Source organism: Homo sapiens, chromosome X (assembly GCF_000001405.40).
Source record: "Homo sapiens chromosome X, GRCh38.p14 Primary Assembly".
In the NCBI taxonomy this organism is placed as follows: Eukaryota; Metazoa; Chordata; class Mammalia; order Primates; family Hominidae; genus Homo; species Homo sapiens.
Window position 1 is genome coordinate 47,722,865 of NC_000023.11, and position 21,302 is coordinate 47,744,166.

Here is a 21,302-nt window from a genome sequence, read left to right on the forward strand (position 1 = left end):
AGGTCGGGGGTGGAATGCAGGGCAGGGGTGCAGGATTGGGGGTTGATATCAACCCTCCTGATCCTGCCCTGACCACTCTTGTCCTGAAGAAGGAGAAGCAGCAGACGCAGAAAAGGAAGCACACAGGCAAGTGGAAGCATCCGGAGCATGTCAAGGACCCAGCCTCACCACGGCAGTGCCTGGGACCCGGCTGTGTGTATCCCACCTGGCCAGGCTCCAAGTACTGTTCAGATGACTGTGGCATGAGGCTGGCAGGTGCGTGAGTGCACCTCGAGGTTAAGGGACAAAGGCAAAGTAAGGTGTGATCTATGCCATCTGTAATTCCACTCAGCCACCCACCCATCCACCGTCATAGTCACCCACTCACTGAACTGCCCATCCACATTACATCCACCAGGATGCTCATCCACCCTTATAGCCACTCATCCACCTGCTCATTCACCCTCATAGCCACTCACCCACCTGCTCATCCACCCTTATAGCCACTCACCCACCTGCCCCTCCACCCATCCACCCACCCGTCCACTGTTCAACCACCCATTCACCAACGTGCACTCATCCACCACTCAGTACCCTATAGAGTCACCATTTGGTAGCTCATCTTTCTCATTCCTCTGATGTCCCCATCTACCCATTTCATTTCTTGCTCTCTCTTCTTTCAGCCACATCAATAACATCCTTCCCCAGCACATCCAGCAGTGGCAAAGGAGCCCCTGCATTGCCAATGAGCATGGCAAGAAAATGCTCGAGCACATCCACCATAAGCAACAGAACACCTATACTTGCCTGAAGGACATGGAGCACCATTTCCATGAACTTGAGGCCATCATTCTGCATGGCAAACAGCAGGCTGTGTGCACGGATTACTAGGCGAGAGGGCATTGGCGAGGTAGAGCTTAAAGGTACCGGGCCTCTGGTCCTGTCCTCCCCATCCTGTACTGCTTCCCTGGTCCCTCCATTGTCCTGTGCAGAGCAACAAAGGTGAAAAGGGCAGCAAAGACCTGCAGATCTTTTGCGCCTCCTGCAGGCGGCCCATCTCTAAGCGTGTCACCTTTCACCACATGGAGCACTGCTTTGCCAAGGTTGGAACATTGGCTGGGAGTCAGATGGGACGAGGGTGTTTTTGGTTGGGTGGGGTGGCACATGGGTGGGGTCCATGTGGTGGGGGCAGATTTGGCGCCTGGATATTTGTCATAGGAGGAATGCAACACACATCCATGGCTTCCCCTGTGTGTGCTCTTCCCCCATGCCCAGTATGAAAGCCAAGGTCAGGGCATTAACCAGTGATGAAGGGGACACTGGCTGTGCAGACGGGAGCATAGGGTCTGCAGGGGACAACAGACCTGGTGTTTGGAGCTTTATTGTAGGAGGACATGCAGCATATGTCCACAGTTCCTCCCATTTGTGCTCTTTCTTCTCCAGTATGAGTGCCAATTGCCCGTTGGGTCCCTGTACCCTACTTGTATTGAAAGGTGAGTGTGGGGGCTAGTAAGGGTCGAAGGCATTACGTGGACAGGGTCAGAAGCAAGGTTGAGCAAGGTCAGGGGCAGGATGTGGGTGGGCTCAGAGGCAGAGGCGGGTGTAATTAGAGGCATGGTATGGGTGGGGTCTGGGACAAGGTACAGGTAGGGTTCTGGGGTGGGACCTCACTCCTCCTGACTCTTAGCACCTCACTTTTCCACCCCCCATCCAGGGCCACATGGCTCTTCTGTGATGTCTACAATCTGAAAAGTAAGAGGTACTGTAAGCGCCTCCAGGTGCTGTGTCCTGAGCACTCTTGGGACCCCAAGGTGAGACCCTTCCTTACCTCATCACCCTCCATTCCTCCAATCCTCCCTGCCTGACTGCCCTCCTCATCTCCTCAGCAACTCCTGTGTGTCCTCCTTCCCTTCCCGACCACCCCACATTCCATGCTCATTGCTGCCTCTCACCCTCTCTTCTTCCTTTTCTCTCTACCTGGCTGTCTGTGTTCATGACCTCCTTGCCCGACCACCTTCTGGGTGGTCCTGCCCCTCCTCACTGCATAAGCACCCCCTAATTCTGCTCCTCTTCTTGCTCAACCATCCTCCCTTCCTGCCCCACCCCCTGCCTGGCCAACTCCCTCTTCCCTCCTCCTTGTGTGGCGCCCTCAACTTCTCTTCCTCACTTTCTGACTTTCCTCCATTCTGATCATTCTCTCTGCCTGACTGTCCCCGATTCTATTTTCTGCCTGTCATCTACATCCTTTCTTCCTCCCTGTTTGACTGCTCCCCATTCTCTCCCTCCACCCTCCTCTCCTTCACCTCAGCCCTCACCTCCCCTCTGCCTCAACAAGCCCCACTCATCTACTTCTCCTCCTTGGACCACCCTCAACCCTCCCCTCCTCTGCCGGACTGCTTTCCAGCCTTCCAGCTCTCCAGCTCTCCCTGGCCCACCTGCCCTCCAGCCATCCCTCCTTCTGTTGGATCTCTTTCTGTGCTTCTGTTCTTTCTGCCTGATCACCTGCATTCTTCCATCCCTGCTTAGTCTACCTCATTCCTCTATCCTCTATGCCTGATCACCCGCTATTTGTCCTCTCTTCTCTGAATTCCTCTCTTCCTCCTGCCTGATCACTCCCCATCCCTCTCCTCTCTGTCCTCCATCTCCCTATTGTTCCCCTGTGCCTGATCATTCCCCAGGGCTTCGCTCCTTCATAACTCATCCTCCTTTGTTCTTCACCATAGATGTCAAAGGATGAGGTGGGTGGTTGTCCGCTCGTGCACAATGTCTTTGAGTTCACGGGTAATTTTTGTTGCCTCCCCAAATGCCTGTGCAACCACCACTACAGCTGGGAGAAGCTGAGGCGTGCCGTGGACCTGGAGTGCATGCAGGCTGTTAGGTGCCATGCCGAGGGGGCTGAGGGATGGGGTAGGATCCTGGACTCCCTCTCGCATATTCAGGTCCCACAGTTGCACAAGCTGGAACAGCTGTTTGAGCAGGAGCAGAAGGTGCGCACGTCTATGATGAACCGGGTGGGGCTGCTGGCTCTGATGCTGCACGGGACGATCCAGCACGACCCGTTCACCAGTGACCTGTGCTCCAGGGTGGACATTTAAGCCTTGCTGGACCTAGGTCCCGTATTCCACACTCTGTGTAAAGGTGACACCTCATGAATCTCTCCTCCCACATCTGTTGCTCCATCCATCTTTTTCTTTCTTTTTTTTTTTTTTTTTTTTTTGAGACGGAGTCTTGCTCTGTCGCCCAGGCTGGAGTGCAGTGGTGCGATCTCGGCTCACTGCAAGCTCCGCCTCCTGGGTTCACGCCATTCTCCTGCCTCAGCCTCCCGAATAGCTGGGACTATAGGCGCTCACCACCACGCCTGGCTAATTTTTTGTATTTTTAGTAGTGACGGAGTTTCACCGTGTTAGCCAGGATGGTCTCGATCTCCTGACCTCGTGATCCGCCCGCCTCGGCCTCGCAAAGTGCTGGGATTACAGGCGTGAGCCACCGCGCCCGGCCTCCATGCACCTTTTTCTTAGGGCATCTTGGAGTTTCTCTCTGTGCTTCTCTGTCCACCACTTGGTCTCTTGTCTCTCTGTCTACCACTCCTTGGTGGTGGTCAGGGGGATTGTTTAAAATTCCCCATTCCCATCCATTCCTCCATCCCTTTCCCTTTCTTCCCTGAACCTGGGTGAGGCCAAGGGATCTGCCCTGCCGTTACATCCACTGTCTAGAGTTTTCTTCACCGACTTTGGAAGAACAAGGATTTTGATATCTCATGATGTTCCCTAAACCTGTCTCTCTGGCTGCAAACCCAATTCCAAACCTCCAATAGTCGGTGGGTGACAGGCCTCGCCTGTCATGACCATCATGCCCCCACACGCACCCATCTTGTCCCATTCCTGACCATCCCACGAGGTCCTTGCCCTGTCAGCCTTGGCCCATCTCAGTCCAACCCTAGTCTGTCCTGCCTTTCACTTCTGGGCCCCCTCCCCCCACCACCCTGCTCTGAGTGTGCCCTGTCCTTTCCAGCCTGTCCTGTCACACCTATTTCACACCTGTAGGTTTGCCAGAAGGTGACTTCTGCCACATCTGCCTTTGCCAGCCCCTAGCCAGGCCTTCTGTGCCATTGGAGGTGCGTCCAGTAGTGTTGCTTGTGGGTGCTGGTATGTCTCCAATGACAGACCTGAACGACCTTTCCTATTTTTTTTCCTATGCTCACTGATTCCTTATGATTTTTTTTTGTTGTTGTTGTTTTTAAGACGGAGTCTCGCCCTGTTGCCCAGGCTGGAGTGTGGTGGCCCGATCTTGGCTCACTGCAACCTCTGCCTCCAGGGTTCAAGTGATTCTCCTGCCTCAGCCTCCTGAGTAGCTGGGATTACAGATGCGCACCTGGCATTTTTTTGTATTTTTAGTAGAGATGGGGTTTTACCATGTTGGCCAGGCTGGTCTCGAACTCCTGACCTCAGGTGATCCGCCTGCCTCGGCCTCCCAAAGTGCTGGGATGACAGGCGTGAGCCACCACACCCAGCCCTTATGATTTTTTTTTAATCTGCTTTTATAATTACTCTCCTCCCAGGAACTCATATAGTTCTAAATGTTTAAGTGTGTTGCTCTAGACTTTATACCTCATATTCCAGTACAACTACTTTACATTACTACTTGTCTGGTACAATATCTCCTTTCTCATTACTAATATTGTGTTTCTTTCTTTTTTTTCAATTTGATCAGATTTCCCAGATCAGCTTTTTATTTATTTATAGGTCCTAATTTTATATTTATTTTATTTATATAAACTTCTATTTGTATTATTTATCACTTCTTGACTTTTTGTTCTGTATTTTTATTTTACATTTTTTTGTTTAATTTTGCTGTTCTTTTTCTAATTTCCTAAGTCATGTTCCCAACTCGACCATTTTGGGGCTTCCAGTTTTTTGTTTTTTTTTTTGATAGTAAAGTATTTGAGATTATACACTTTCCTCTACATGTAGCTACGTTTCCAACACTCTGGTATGGAAGGTGAAACTACAAAATTGACTTCTCATTTTGATCCTAGGTATTGAAGAAAGCTTCTTAGGTTCTTACTGGTTAAGATAGTTTAGTGGTCTTTTTTTTATTTTTATGTAATTATGTTTTTTTATTATGGTCAGAGAATGTAGCCTGCAGAATATGAATTTGTAAATGTTATTCAATATTTTCTCTGTGGCCTAGGTATGTGACATAATTTTGTAAAACTTTCATGGATATAAGAGAAGAAACTATATTCTCTGTTAGATATTAGGACTTGGTGGGGACTTTTCAATCTAGTTGGATTATTTATTTTTTGTCTTTCTGTCTACTTCAGCTGTTATATTATCAAAAGGTAGAATAAATCTACCTTTTAAAACAAATTTCTTCTGTGGTTTTGTGTTTTTTGGGGAGAGATGAATCCTAAAGTATATATCTTAGACCATTTCACACCATGTCACGTATTTTCTTTTTTTTTTTTCTTTTGAAATGGAGTCCCGCTCTGTCACACAGGCTGGAGTGCAGTGACCTGATCTTGGCTCACTGCAACCTCTGCCTCCCAGGTTCAAGCAATTCTCCTGCCTCAGCCTCCTAAGTAGCTGGGATTACAGGCATGTGCCACCACACCTGGCTAGTTTTTGTATTTTTAGTAGAGATGTGGTTTCGCCAAATTGGCCAGGCTGGTCTCAAACTCCTGACCTCTAGTGATCTGCCCGCCTCAGCCTTCCAAAGTGCTGGGATTACAGGTGTGAGTCACTGTGCCCGGCCAGTTTCTGTTCATTTTTGTCCCTACTGTTTTCCTCATTAGTTTGGAAAGTTTTACTTTTATTAATTGTCCCATTATATACTTTTCCCATTTCCAACAGGCATGATTTATTTCCTTTACTATTTTATCCGAACATAACCGGACCTTATTTTATAGAAAAAGATGAATAGTATTACTTTCTTATTTTTCTAGAAAAATTTAAGCTGTGTATTTAAAGACTATATTTTTCTTACAGGTTGAGTTAATCCTGCTTCAAGAAATCTCACTTAACATTTTTATTCAAAATCCCCAGTGACTTCATGTATTATAATTTAACTTTTAACTGTATGAGTGTGTGCTCAGGGGTGTGTATTTTACCTCAACAGTAATTGTGAACCATTGTTTTGCTCTCTTATTTTGCGATCTCTCTTATGATTTCATATTCATTTATTTAGAATACATCCCTAAGTGTTTTCTTTAAGCAGAATAAATCAGTGAAACACTCTTCAAATTATTTCATGTCTGAAACTGTCATTCTTTTGCCCTGACCAAGGAATGGTTTCTTGGGATGGGGTACAGGATTGGAATTCTTATCTCTCCGTGGCCTATGGTAGGCGTGTCCAGTCTTTTGGCTTCCACGGGTCACACTGGAAGAAGAAGAATTGTCTTGGACCACACATACAATATAATAATACTAACAATAGCTGATGAGCTAAAAAAAAAATAGCAAAACAAATCTCAAAATATTTTAAGAAAGTTTACCAATTTGTGTTGGGCTGCATTCAAAGATGTCCTGGGCTACATGTGGCCCATGGGCCGCAGATTGGACAAGATTGGTCTATGGGAAGTAGCTTCTAAGATAACCCTCAGTGATCCCTGCCTCCTGGAATTCATCACCCTGTGTAATTCCCTCCATTTGAGTAACTTGCTTCTAACCAATACAATACCTTAACATTGAGAGGATGCCACCTTTGTGGTTAGATGACAAGAGATCATAGCTTCTGTCTTGGTGACAGGCTCTTTCCCTTGTTGGTTTTGGCAACATGTTGGGAAGGCCCATGTAGCAAGGATAGCCTCCAACTATCAGAAACTGAGACTTTCAGTACATCCCAACATCCCCAAAGGGATAGAATCCTGGAACAACCACATAAGTGAGTTTGGAAGTAAGTCTTTCCCCAGTTCAGCCTTCAGATGAAGCCACAACCCCTGGATGACACCTTGATTGTAGCCCTATGAGAGACTCTGAAACAGAGGACCCAGCTAAGCCATACCAAGATTCCTAACCTACAGAAACCATGAGATGTGTGTGTTTTTAAGCCCATCAAGTTTGTGGTAATTTATAATACAGCAATAGATAACTAATACATGGTCTGTAGATGTTAAATGACATCTGAATTCAATTTTTGTCAATGAGATATCTGCTGCTGGTCTTATTCCTCTCCCTTGTATAAAACTTGTTTCTGCATGGAAGTGTTTAAGAATTTCTCCTCATCTTTGGACTATAAGACTGTAACCTTTATCTGCAAAACAGAGAGAGATTTTTAAAAAGGCTGTAATCAAATTTGGTCATTGCAAGGGTTCCTGTGGTGATTAATTATTTTTAGCAGCTTTGCAGGGGAGGATCAGTGATTTAGTCATCACCTTTTACTGTACATCAGAATCTTCTGTGGAGTTGAGATGGAAGAGATGGGGGGATGTGGAGGGTTCATCCCCATGGCCTAGGGGAGAGGGGGAGGCAGCTCCCTGCAGGGTGTCTAGGGGGAGATCCGAGTGGGAGCAGCCACCAGCCATAGCCAGGGAGATGCTATCCCCCACCCCAGCACGGATCCTTCCCTCTCCATTGATTCTTTACAGATGTCAGCTGATTCTCACCAGCACTCCCTTTCCCCCCTCCTCTGGGGATGTGCCGATTTCTCCTCTATCTTAATTTAGGTATAGAAAAACCCTTTTTTCTTTGGAACTTAGAGACTGGCAGGGTAGTAGGGCCACCACAGTCTCCGGGGTCCTTCCGGCTCTCTCTCCTCCCTTCAAAGATAAATAAAATGGCCCCAGAAGGCAAGTGACTCGCCCAGGCCTCTCAGGTTGGCAGTGACAGCACTAGACTGGAGCCAGGTCTCCTGACTGTGTCTTCTACCTTCACCCACCACAGCTGAGATCAACTTTCCCACTCAGAGTTCCCGTTGAGATTCTGTAAACTGAGGAGGACGATGAGTGAGCCAGGCTCTGGCTGACAGCTCCCTCCTTTCAGACTTGCCTGTGGATGCTGTCGGCTCTGGAAGGGTTCATCCTCTCAGGGGCTCAGGATCATGCAGTCAATAAGCCCGTATATATTCTGAAACTCTGTTGTTTTAGTTTTGTTTATTATATAAATAATTATATTCCTAATATTAAGTTATGCATTATGAATAAATACAAAGAAGAAAGTAAAAATGACCTCTAACTCTGCCATCTCCTAAATATAAATTCTATCAACAATTTGATTTATTTGCTTCCATATACTTTTTTCTGGGCATGTGCTTTGGTGCTTATGTTTGCAAGTGATCAGTATATTCATATGTGCACTTTTAGTTTAAATGAAAACTGGAATCATGTTGTTTGGTTACCTTGTTTTTTTACGTTGTATTTTAACTTAAATATTTTTCCATGGCAGCATATATTTTTCTAAACAATTTTAACAGCTGCAAATAGCGTATCTTTGAATATATCATAATTTATATAACCAATATGCTGTTAATAAATATTTATGAAAGTTGGTTTTGGTTTTAACTGTTATGAACATCGCCGTGGTAAAATTCCTACATTTAAATCTTTGTGCACATACATGATTATTTTCTACAGATATAGTTTTAGAAATTGTACTCTTGGGTCAGGGTGTAAGGACAGGTGTTAATAATAAATGGGCTGGGCGCTGTGCTCATGCCTGTAACCTCAGCACTTTGAGAGGCAGAGGTGGGTGGATCAGTTGAGGTCAGGAGTTGCAGACCAGCCTGGTCAACATGGTGAAACCATGTCTCTACTAAAAATGCAAAAATTAGCTGGGCTTGGCGGCACACACCTATAATCCCAGCTACTTGAGAGGCTGAGGCTGGAGAATCTCTGGACCCCGGGAGGCAGAGGTTGCAGTGAGCCCAGATCGCGCCACTGCACTCCAGCCTGGGCGACAGAGCAAGACTCTTGTCTCAATAAATAAATAAAAATACAAAAATTAGCCAGGCATGGTGGCACGCGCCTATAATCCCAGCTACTTCGGAGGCTGAGACACTAGAATCACTGGCACCAGGGAGGCGGAGGTTGCAGTGAGCTGAGATCGTGCCACTGCACGCCAGCCTGTGTGACAGAACGAGACTCTGTCTCAAAAATAAATAAAAATACAAAAATTAGCCGGGCATGGTGGCGCACACCTGTAATCCCAGCTACTCCAGAGGCTGAGGCATGAGAATTGCTGGAACCCGGGAGGTGGAGGTTGCAGTAAGCTGCGCCACTGCACTCCAGCCTGGGCGACAGAGCGAAACTGTGTCTCACATAATAATAATAATAATAATAATAATAATAATAATAATAATAATAATAAATGAATTGGGAGGGGACAATTGCACACTTAGTCCCAATGAGAAATCTGCCTTTTTCCAAATGCCACATGATCAAATCAGTCACACATATGCAGCTTGTGATCACAGAGGCATGGAGTTCTCTGGCTTTCCATGGGGTGCAGCCTCTTGTCCAGCGGAAGTGTGGAGATTTCCAGCCTGCTTAATCTGAGCAACACAACCTTGACTTCACAGACCTATGTCCCTACCCAAGAAAGTCAGGAAATAACCACGTTTCTCATGAGTTATCGTTAATTCATGTATTTGTTGCACCCGTTGCAGTTCAGCAGCTTTTGTGAGCTTTTAAGAATCCCTGTAGTAAAATGTACAAGTATAGCTCCATAAAAATTAGATCAGAGAAAATATAGAAAGAATGGATGAAGTCAGGACCAGAATTGATTTGGGCTGTAGGCATTTGGGCCCTAGGGTTCTGCAGAGTAAAATTAAACTGCCAGTTTCCTTCTGAGCTTCCTATCAGACATAGCTGGAAAGAAAATGCAGTTATTTGTAGGATTTACCTTGGCCTCAGGGAGAAAAATGACTACAAGGGTGAAGAAAACATTTTCCAGGGTAAAGATTTCCTGATAATTGAATGTAAACCATCTCCCGCCCCCCTTATTTTTGAGACAGAGTCCTGCTCTGTTGTCCAGGCTGGAGTGCAGTGGCTCGATCTCGGCTCACTGCAAACTCCGCCTCCCAGGCTCAAGCGATTCTCCAGCCTCAGCCTCCTGACTAGCCGGGATTACAGGCACGTGCCACCATGCCTGGCTAATTTTTGTATTATTTATTTATTTATTAGAGACAGAGTCTCGCTCTATCACCCAGGCTGCAGTGCAGTGGCACCATCTCAGCTCACTGCAAACTCTGCCTCCTGGGCTCAAGGGATTCTCCAGCCTCAGCCTCCCAAGTAGCTGGGATTACAGGCATGCACCACCACACCCAGCTAATTTTTGTATTTTTTTGTAGAGACAGGGTTTCACCATGTTGGCCAGGCTGGTCTCGAACTTCTGACCTCAAGTGATCCACTGGCCTTGGCCTCCCAAAGTGCTGGGATTACAGGCATGAGCCACTGTGCTCGGCTCCAAAACCCCTTTTTGATCTCATTATGGATTATAGGTGAGGTGACCTTATACTTTATCATCCAAATTCAGAAACTTTGGAAAGTGAAAGAGGTATCATTAATAATCATGCTGGAACAGCAGGTGTAAACTGGACAGGTGGTCAACCTAATGATAAATGCGCAATAGAGTTTGCCATGGCCATCTTCTGGAGCAGTGGTTCTTCCAGTGTGTTCCCTGGACCACCACCAACAGCACCTGAGATATTGTTAGAGATGCAAATTCTTGGACCCTATGCCAGACCTACGGAATATCTAACTTTTGGGTGTGAGGCTCAGCAGTCTGTGTGCTGACAAGCCCTCTGGGTGATTCTGATACACGCTCAATGTTGAGAACCACTGATTTAGAGCTGTCTTCCAAATAAGTCAAAGGCACAGGGCCAGTGCAGAACTCAGCCCATCGGGTTCTTCATGTGCACACCTCTCTAATTATCTTGTTTCATCTAGGTACAAACTATCCTACATTTTTATATTCCTCTGGAGCCTTTTGACACTTCTTATGCCTTAAATAGTTCAAAATTAAAGGAATATTGGATCATACAATATGTGTTTTCAGTCTGGACTTAAAACTCTGTGTGATGGCCCTGCTCGTGGTCGGTTCCTCAAAAAAAAAAAAAAGTCTCTATTTTTAACATGTTATCCTGAAGTACAAAATACAACGGTAACGTGGAATTTATTCTTTCAAGATACAAAAGTTAGTTTATATTTATTTCCTGTATATAGAATCCCTTAGTGGTGATCCATTAGTTCAAGTAAAAAATCCATGCTTTTCCCATGATTGTAGTCCAGCATTTGTCCTTAGTTTTTATTAATTAATTAATTAATTTATTTATTTATTATTACTTTTGCCTCACTCTGTCTCCCAGGCTGGAGTGCAGTGGCATGATCTGGGCTCACTGCAAACTCCACCTCCCGGGTTTCTAACCTCCTGATTCTCGTGCCTCAGCCTCCCGAGTAATTGGGATTACAGGTGTTTGCTAACACGCCTGGCTAATTTTTGTATTTTTGGTAGAGATGGGGTTTCGCCATGTTGGCCAGGCTGATCTGTATCTCCTGACCTCAGGTTATCCAACCGCCTTGGCCTCCCAAAGTGCTGGGATTACAGGCCTGAGCTACTGCACCCAGTCTGTCCTTAGATTTTTAAACTTATTTTGCTTCCCTAACATGAGACATAGACTCCTGTCCTTTTGCATAGAGCTATTTGCACTTCCATGATGTCAGATACTTTATTTTTTTTATTTTATTTTTTTTTACTCCCATGCTTTTGCACTTTGCCTCACATGTTTCACTTTCCATGTTAAGCTTCCCCAACACTGGCAGGCAAACCTACTTCCCCATGGAGAATTTATCTTTCCCTCTTTTGTGCTCTCCATGTTTCCTACATGTACTTAAGCCTTGGAATTTTTTGTTTTAATCATCTCAGTAAACTTTTTTTTTTTTTTTTTTGAGACAGAGTCTCACTCTATCACCCAGGCTGGAGTGTAGTGGCATGATCTCGGCTCACTGCAACCTCTGCCTCCCAGGTTCCAGCGATTCTCCAGCCTCAGCCTCCGAAGTAGCTGGGATTATATGTGCGTGCCACCATGCCTGGCTAATTTTTGTAGTTTTGTATTTTTAGTAGAGATGGGGTTTTGCCATGTTGGCCAGACTGGTCTCGAACTCCTGGCCTCAAGTGATCCACCTGCCTTGGCCTCCCAAACTGCTGGGATTACAGGTGTGAGCCACCACTGACTTCCATTTAGGAAGTCAATCTCATGTTTTCTGGGAGAGCTTGATGCCTTTGAAATGCCCTGAAAGTGTATTAGTCAGTGTTCTCCAGAGACACAGAGCCAATAGGGTATATGGATATAAGAGGGGATTTATTATGGGAATTTGCTCACACCATTATGGAAGCCAAGAAGTCCCCAACATCTTCTTTCTGCAAGCTGGAGAACTAGAAAAGCTGAAGCTGATAATATAATTCAGTTTGAGTCTGAAGGCCTGAGAACCAGGGGAGTTGATGGTACAACTATCAGTCCTAGGCCAAAGGCTTGAAAAATGGGGTAGGGGGTGAGGGGATGGTGTTGGTGTAAGCCCTGGAGTCTGAAGGCCCAAGAACCAATAGCCTCAATGTCTGAGAGCAGGAGAAGATGGATGTCCACAGCTCAAGCAGAGAGGGTGAATTTGCCCTTCCTCCATTTTTTTGTTCTATTCAGTCCCTCAATGGATTAGATGATGCCTGCCCACATTGGTGAGGACAAATCTTTACATAGTCTGCTGATTCAAATGTTAATGTTTTCTGGGAACACCCTCACAGTCACACTTAGCAATAATGTTTTACCAGCTATCTGGGCATCTTAGCCCAGTTGAGTTGATATAAAATTAACCGTCACAGAAGGTAACTCATCTTGAAAGTTCTAAACTCCCTTAACTCACTTCTTCTCTAAAAGAAGGTTTATAACTTCAATTTTTCTCTATCTTGAATTGGAATGTCTACGACTTTTATTATATGTCTGCCCAACCATTGTATGTTCAGTGTTTTGGGGGAAGATAACCTGTCTCTTCTGTTTTCACAGGTCCACATACAGAAAGAGAGGAATTGTGCCTCAGAAGCTGTATGTAATGGATGACACCCAGGAGCCTCATCTGCACCTGGACCTAATATGGTGATAAAATTTTAGGCTTGGAGCTGATACTGTAATGAGGTGAGCCTTTTGGGACCTTGGAATGGGGTGAATGTATTTTGCATGTGAGAGGGATATAAAGCATTGGTGGTCAGAGGGAAGACTCTGGTGGACACACACTAAGGTGATACATAGTGAGTCACACAATCTTGTATAATTTCCTCTCCTTGGGTGCAGATAGAATCTCTGTGACTTGTTTCTAACAAATAGAATATGGCGAAGGTGATGGGATATCACTCCCTTGATCAGGTTATATTACAGTCAAAGATGATATGATATAACTCCCATGATTTCATTACATTATCTAACACTCTGCTTTAGTAGACTGGCACAAGAGATTCTCCTTACTGGCTTAATGAGGTAAGCGTCTATATTGAGGAAACCCACATGGCAAGAAACTGCAGGCAGCCTCTAGAAACCATGGGTGGCCTCTTCGATTTGAAGGTAGCTTCCAGCTGACAACCAGTAAGAAGCCAGGGCCCTCAGTCATGTAGCTGCAAGAAAATAAAATCTGCCAATGACGTGAATGATCTTGGAAGTGGATTCTTCCCCAGTCAAGTTTCCAGATGAAAATATAGCCTGGCTGACACCTTGTGAGATCCTGAACAGAGGACTTAGTTAAGCTATGTGTGAACTTTTGACACACAGAAACTGTGAAATAATAAAAGTGTGTTGTCTTAAGCTACTAAGTTCGTGGGAATTTGTTATGCAGCAATGGAAAACTAATAGGATATCTCATGCCCTATTTCATTGTTTCACATTTTCCTCAATGTCTACTGTATAAAGCTCCATTTTGTATCTGGGCTTCTGATTATTTTGTGTACTGCATATGTGGACAATATGCATATTTTCATTTTTCGTTCAGTTGCTTCTGTTCCATGAAATAGTTCTTAACTACTCTAGTGTATTTTTTTCACTTGTTTGATTCCCTAGTCTGCAAATTCTTCAAACTAGAGAGTTTTAAACCATATGGTATTTGATGCTTTTGTCCTTTTATTTTAAGTAAATCCTTGGTAATAAGGGATTATATTTTACTTTTCATTACTGCAGCGCTAAGGACATAGAACCTATTTAGAATATTGAAGGTATTAAATATATGGAGGTAGTCAGAGGAGAATATTTTGTTTTATTTTTAAAATGTCTGGTGAGAGAAACTCAAAGGAACATAAATTATACCTGAAAAGAGAAAACAATGGCTTTAAAGCCAAAATATTAGGCTTTCTACAATAATCCCCTCCAATATAATGGAAATCTAGTAAAAACAATTGTTTAAAAACAAGTGGCAGAGTGTATCTGCTTTTGGAGTGCAAAAAAATATGTTCCCTGAATTCAGATATGGAAGATTGAGAGTAATTTTCGCACAGTGGACATTTAATTTATTCTTGAGCCCATATAAATTTTGTATTGCTGGAAATAGGCATGAAAATTAAGCTTTCTGGAGAAGAACATGAAGTTAAGATTGGAATTGCAAATAAACTGGATTTTGAAGGCAATTTCATGAATAATTTGTGGAATGCAAAATCACCTACACAGTCATTTTAAAGACTGATGACTCTTGATCTCTTCATTTATGTATGTTACTGACTCTGTAGGACAAGGGACTTACAGATGAGTTTTTCAACCCAAGAGTAAATTCTTTGCAATGGACATTGTGGCAATAATCTCAATGATGAAAGGTGCAACACAGGTTAAATGGAAAATTGAAAGTGGAAAAAATACCAAATCAATTTTTAGGAATCCAATGCTTACGTTCTCTAGAATAACTAAAAATCATAACATGTAGGAGTAAAAATATGAAGGTGAAAGAAGAGAGGCTTTTACACAGGACAGAGCTAACATCTAGTATATCAGGCTCACCAAAAAAGGGAAAACAAACTGCATTTAATCAGATTATGCTCAGTATCTAAAATTCATGGTGGAATACGAAAATGGCATAATTTACTCATTCTATAAATATTTTGTGAAAACTTACTATGCCACATATTCTATCAGAACATCACTGTTTCCCATTCTGGGCAAAGATGATACATGAATTATGGTAATTCTAAGCTGCTTTACCAAACAGACTCCAAGATAAATACTTAAATAATGTAGAATTGTGTTGCTCTTTTATGTACTTATTTTATTTATTATTATTATTACTATACTTTAAGTTTTAGGATACATGTGCACAACGTGCAGGTTTGTTACATACGTATACATATGCCATGTTGGTGTGCTGCACCCATTAACTCGTCATTTAGCATTAGGTATATCTCCTAATGCTATCCCTCCCCCCTCTCCCCACCCCACAACAGTCCCCGATGTGTGATGTTCCCCTTCCTGTGTCCATGTGTTCTCATTGTTCAATTCCCACCTATGAGTGAGAACATGCGGTGTTTGGTTTTTTGTCCTTGCGATAGTTTGCTGAGAATGATGGTTTCCAGCTTCATCCATGTCCCTACAAAGGACATGAACTCATCATTTTTTATGGCTGCATAGTATTCCATGGTGTATATGTGCCACATTTTCTTAATCCAGTTTATCATTGTTGGACACTTGGGTTGGTTCAAGACACATAATTGTCAGATTCACCAAAGTTGAAATGAAGGAAAAAATGTTAAGGGCAGCCAGAGAGAAAGGTCGGGTTACCCACAAAGGGAAGCCCATTAGACTAACAGCTGGTCTCTCGGCAGAAACTCTACAAGCCAGAAGAGAGTGGGGGCCAATATTCAACATTCTTAAAGAAAAGAATTTTCAACCCAGAATTTCATATGTACGTCTTTTAATAATACTTGCTTCTTGTGTTCCTTCAGGGACCCAAATTTCTTCCAAGACATCAGCCCTCCATTCTTTTTTTCCCTTCATAGCATGTTTTTATTTATCACATAAATTCACCATTTTCAAGTATACACTTCACTATGTTGTGCAACTGTCACCACTATCTAAGTCCAGAAAATATCCATCATCTCAAAGGGAAACCCCAAACCTATTAGAAGTTAGTCTCACATGTACACGTATGTTTATTGCAGCACTGTTCACAACAGCAAAGACTTGGAACCAACCCAGATGCCCATCAATGATAGACTGGATAAAGAAAATGTGGCACATATACACCATGGAATACTATGCAGCCATAAAAAAGGATGAGTTCATGTCCTTTGCAGGGACATGGATAAAGCTGGAAACCATCATTCTCAGCAAACTAACACAGGAACAGAAAACCAAACATCGCATGTTCTCACTCATAAGTGAGAACTGAACAATGGGAACACATGGACGCAGGGAGGGGAACATCACACACTGGGGCCTACAAGGGGGTGGGGTGCTAGGGGAGGGATAGGATTAGGAGAAATACCTAATGTAGATGATGTGTTGATGGGTGCAGCAAACCACCATGGCATGTGTATACCTATGTAACAAACCTGCACGTTCTGCACATGTATCCCAGAACTTAAAGTATAATACAAAAAGAAATATTAAAAAAATAAAAATTAAAAAAAATATATATATACTTAACTGATATTGAAATACCCTTGAATTCCTGAAATACAATGCTCTTTGCCATAGTGTATTACTCTTTGTTGTTGCAATTATTAATAACAGTGCTGGGTTTTTACTTAGAATATTCATTCATATGTATAAGTAAGATTGGTCTATAGTTTTGGTTTTTTTCTTTTGTTTTGAGACAGAGTCTCGCTCTGTTGCCCAGGCTGCAGTGCAGTGGCATGATCTCGGCTCACTGCAGCTCCACCTCCTGGGTTCGAGCTGGGATTACAAGCATGCACCACCATGCTGGGTTAATTTTTTTTTTTTTTTGAGATGGAGTCTCACTCTGTCGCCCAGGCTGGAGTGCAATGGTGCGATCTCAGCTCACTGCAAGCTCTGCCTCCTTGGGTTCATGCCATTCTCCTGCCTCAGCCTCCCAAGTAGCTGGGACTACAGGCGCCCACCACTATGCCCAGCTAGTTTTTTTGTATTTTTAGTAGAGACGGGGTTTCGCTGTGTTAGCCAGGATGGTCTCCATCTCCTGATCTCATGATCTGCCCGCCTCGGCCTCCCAAAGTGCTGGGATTACAGGCGTGAGCCACCATGCCTGGCCTGGGCTAATTTTTGTATTTTTAGTAGAGACGGGGTTTTGCCATGTTGTCCAGGCTGGTCTCGAACTCCTGACCTCAGGTGATCTACCCGCCTTGGCCTCCCAAAGTGCTGGGATTACAGGTGTGAGCTACTGTGCCTGGCCTATGGTTTTGTTTTGCCTTGTGTTTATCAGGTTTTCATATTAATGCTGCACTGGCTATATGAAATGATTGGTGAGTTTTTTTTTAATTGGGATACTTTAAACAACGTTGGAATTATCCTTCTTGCAACCCTAGTACTTTTTAAATTATGGATTTAAAAAATCACTTTACACTGTCTTCTTTGTAACTGGTCTATTGACATTTTAAATTTCTTCTTGGGTTAGTTTTGGTCATTTATGTTTTTCTAGAAAATTATCCATTTTCTCTAGATTTTCCAATGTGTTGCTATATCGTTGCATGCAGCATTTCAAAGTGAATCTTTCTACCTTCATCTTATTTTACCTCTTGGTAGCATTCTACAGAGTTGAAGATTCTACTTGTGAATTTTTTTTTTTTTTTTTGACAGAGTCTCGCTCTATCGCCCAGGCTGGAGTGCAGTGGTGCAATCTCGGCTCACTGCAAGCTCTGCCTCCAGGGTTCACGCCATTCTCCTGTGTCAGCCTCCCGAGTAGCTGGCACTACAGGTGCCCGCCACCACGCCCAGCTAAATTTTTTGTATTTTTAGTAGAGATGGGGTTTCACCGTGTTAGCCAGGATGGTCTCGATCTCCTGACCTCGTGATCCGCCCGTCTCGGCCTCCCAAAGTGCTGGGATTACAGGCGTGAGCCACCGCGCCCAGCCCTATATTTGTGAGTTTTGAGTTTCTTGATTTATTGAATGGATGTGATGAATTTATATCTTTAGCGTGACCATGCAGAGAAATGTATGATGGATAGTAATGGAAAATTACAGGAAATCTGAAAATTTAATAAATTATTTGTTGACAAAAAAAAAAGTCTCAATTTTTCCCTGCTTCCACCCCTTGACAACCAGTAATTTATTTTCTGTCTCTGGATTTGCCCTCTGGACATTTCATAAACATGGAATCATGCACTATGTGGCCTTTTGTGTCTGGATTCTTTCACTTAACATAATGTTTTCAAGGTTCATCCATGTTGTAGCTTGTAACAGTACTTCATTCTTTTTTGTGGCTGAATAATATTCCATTTTATGAATATACCACGTTTTGTTTGTCCATTCATCAGCTGATGGATAGCTTCATTTTTCTAGTTTAATGCCAGGCATTTAAAATTTTTATTTTTTAATTTATAAAGAAAAGAGGTTTATTTTTGCCCATGTATTCTGCAGGCTGTACAGGAAGCATGGTGCCAGCATCTGCTTCTGGTGAGGGCCTCCATCACCGTTCCACTCATGGCAGAAAGTGAATGAAAGCAAGTCTGTGCAGAGATCACACAGTGGGAGAGAAAGTGAGAGAGAGGGGAGGAAGCGCCAGACTCTTTTTAACAACCAGCTCTGGTGGCAACTAACAGAGTGAGAACTCATTCATTGCTGCCAGGACAGTACCAAGCCACTCATGAGAGATCCATCCTCATGACCCAAACACCTCCCACTAGGCCCCACCTTTAACACTGGGGATCAAAGTTTAACATGAGATTTGAATGGGTCAAATATCCAAACTATAGCATTCTGCCCCTGGCCCCACAAATCCCATGTTCTTCTCGTGTTGCAAAATATAATCATCCCTCCCCAACAGTTACCAAGAATCTTAACTCGTTCTACCATCAACTCAAAAGTTCAAAGTTCAAAATCTCATCTGAGACTTAAGGCAAGTTAATTACAGTTGTGAGCCTGTAAAATAAAAGGCCAGGCATGGTGGCTCACGCCTGTAATCCCAGCACTTTGGGAGGCCGAGGCAGGAGGATCACCTGAGGTCAGGAGTTCGAGACCAGCCTGGCCAACATGGTGAAACCCCGTCTCTACTAAAAATACAAAAATTATCCGGGCCTGGTGGTGCACGCCTGTAATCCCAGCTACTTGGGAGGCTGAGGCAGGAGAATCGCTTGAACCCAGGAGGCAGAGGTTGCAGTGAGCCAAGATTGGGCCACTGCACTCCAGCCTGGGGGACAGAGCAAGGCTCCATCTCAAAAATAATAATAATAATAAAATAAAAATAAGAAACAAGTTATTTACTTCCAATATACAATGCTGGTACAGGCATTGGGTAAATTCCCATTCCAAAACGGAGAAATGGGTAACAGGCTCCATGCCAGTCCAAAACCCAGCAAAGCAAGCATTAAGTCTTTCTTTACAAAGTCTTTATAAAATTAGAGACAGGGTTTTTCTCTGTTACCCAGGCTGGTGTGCAGTGGATTAACGCTGCTGAGTGCAACCTCGAACTCCTGGACTAGAGTGATCCTCCTGCCTCAGCTTACCAAAATGCTGGGATTACAGGCATGAGCCACCATGCCTAGAGAGCATTAAATAACAGTACCTGGTAGATTATAAGTCCCAGATAAATACACAGCAAATAGTAATTGCCACATAAATATTTATAATAATAATGATCATCATGATCATCATCATTGTCATATGACTCATATTTCCCTGTGTTCCAATTGGGTGAACAATATGTGCTTTCTCCTCCATCCTCTAACTATTCTTTCAGTTATAATTACTCTGTCTTTTACATTTCAGAAGGGGAATTTGGGCTTGAAGTCACACAGCAGTAAATTCTGAAAAAACTTGACTTCACAGTGAGATGCTTCCTGTTAGAAAAAATTATGATGACCAGATGGAGAAATATCAGGAACATCCAAACAAACCTTGAAGTCATATTTCTTTCATCAAAAAGAAAACATTAAATACAAGAGAGATTATGATTATTACTATGTTGTAAAAGTATTTCAAGTGGTTCCAAACATTGTCCTCTAACAAACAGACCCCATTAATTTGATTCATTTGTAAAGAATTGGAAACAAAATGTAGACTCACAGAGTGATAATAGAAGCAGTACCTCAAAGAACCTTGACAAGATTAACTATTGACTATTTTCATGTGTAGTTCATTCTGTAATAAACATGAAAATATTTATGCAGGAGAGAAATTTTAAAATGCAATCCATGGAAATGAAATCCATGTAGCGTGTGTATTCACAAAACTCATAGAGTGCTCTACAGTGCTACAAAGCACTCTGTGAGTGTGGTGAATACATAAAGGCTCCATCCAGAAGGCAACACTCAAGGTCCAACAAAGAATTCACACTGGACAGAAACCTGACAAGTGCAGTGGCTGTAGAAAAGCCTTCACTGGGATTTCACGTTTCAGGAAACACCAAATGATTTATACTGAAGAGAGGCAATGTGAATACGATAGTCAAGTGCAGTGGTATGCGCCTATAGTCCTAGCTACTTGGGAAGCTGAGGCAAGAGGATCGCTTGAGTCAGGAGTTCAAGACTGCAGTGTGCCATGATAAGATCATGCCTGTGAACAGTCACTGCACTCCAGCCTGGGCCACATAGTGAGACCCCATATCTTAAAAAAAGAATATTGTGAATGTGGTACAACATTCAATCAGAAATCAATACTAAATATGCATCAAAAAACTCACAAGGAGAGAAACTTTATGTATGTAATGAATGTGGTGAGGCCTTCAACTGGAAGTCAAACTTCATTACCCACCAGATGATTCATGCTGGAGAGAACCTTAGGATGCAATCTCGTGGGAAATTCTTAACTTCCAAGCCACAACTCTTATGGCAGTCAGCAAGTTCACATTGAAGCCAAGCTATATTTATGTACCGAATGTGGAAGTGCTTTCACCAAAAAATTAAGCCTTCTCACACACCAGAAAACTCATACTGGAGAGAAACTCTGTACTGACTGAGAGAGGACCTTCAGACAGAGGCCAGAGTTGATTATAGATCAGAAAATTCATTCTGCAGAAAAGCCTTATTAATGCAGTGTCTGTAGGAAATCTTTTGCTAGGAAATCATGCCTCCAACTGCGTCAGCAAATTCACACAGGAGAGAAACCCTATATATGTTCTGAATGTGGGAAGGCCTTCACCAACAGTTCCACGCTGGAGAAATGCTACAAAACTTGCATTTAAGATAAACCCTACAAGTGTAGTGACTGTGCTAAGTCTCCATTCAGAAGTCTGTTCTC

General features: G+C 43.4%; 2 pseudogenes across 1 annotated transcript in view; both read left to right on the forward strand.

Moving 5' to 3' along the window:
* CXXC1P1 (CXXC finger protein 1 pseudogene 1) overlaps positions 1-13,764 on the forward strand; it is a 29,438-nt pseudogene extending 15,674 nt beyond the window's left edge. Inside the window, exons 2-4 of the transcript NR_033924.1 lie at positions 663-1,472; positions 1,694-1,790; positions 12,970-13,764. The product of NR_033924.1 is annotated as a CXXC finger protein 1 pseudogene 1 (transcript). The remainder of the gene's footprint in view (positions 1-662; positions 1,473-1,693; positions 1,791-12,969) is intronic.
* LOC100419908 (zinc finger protein 585A pseudogene) lies at positions 20,212-21,302 on the forward strand (annotated as a pseudogene).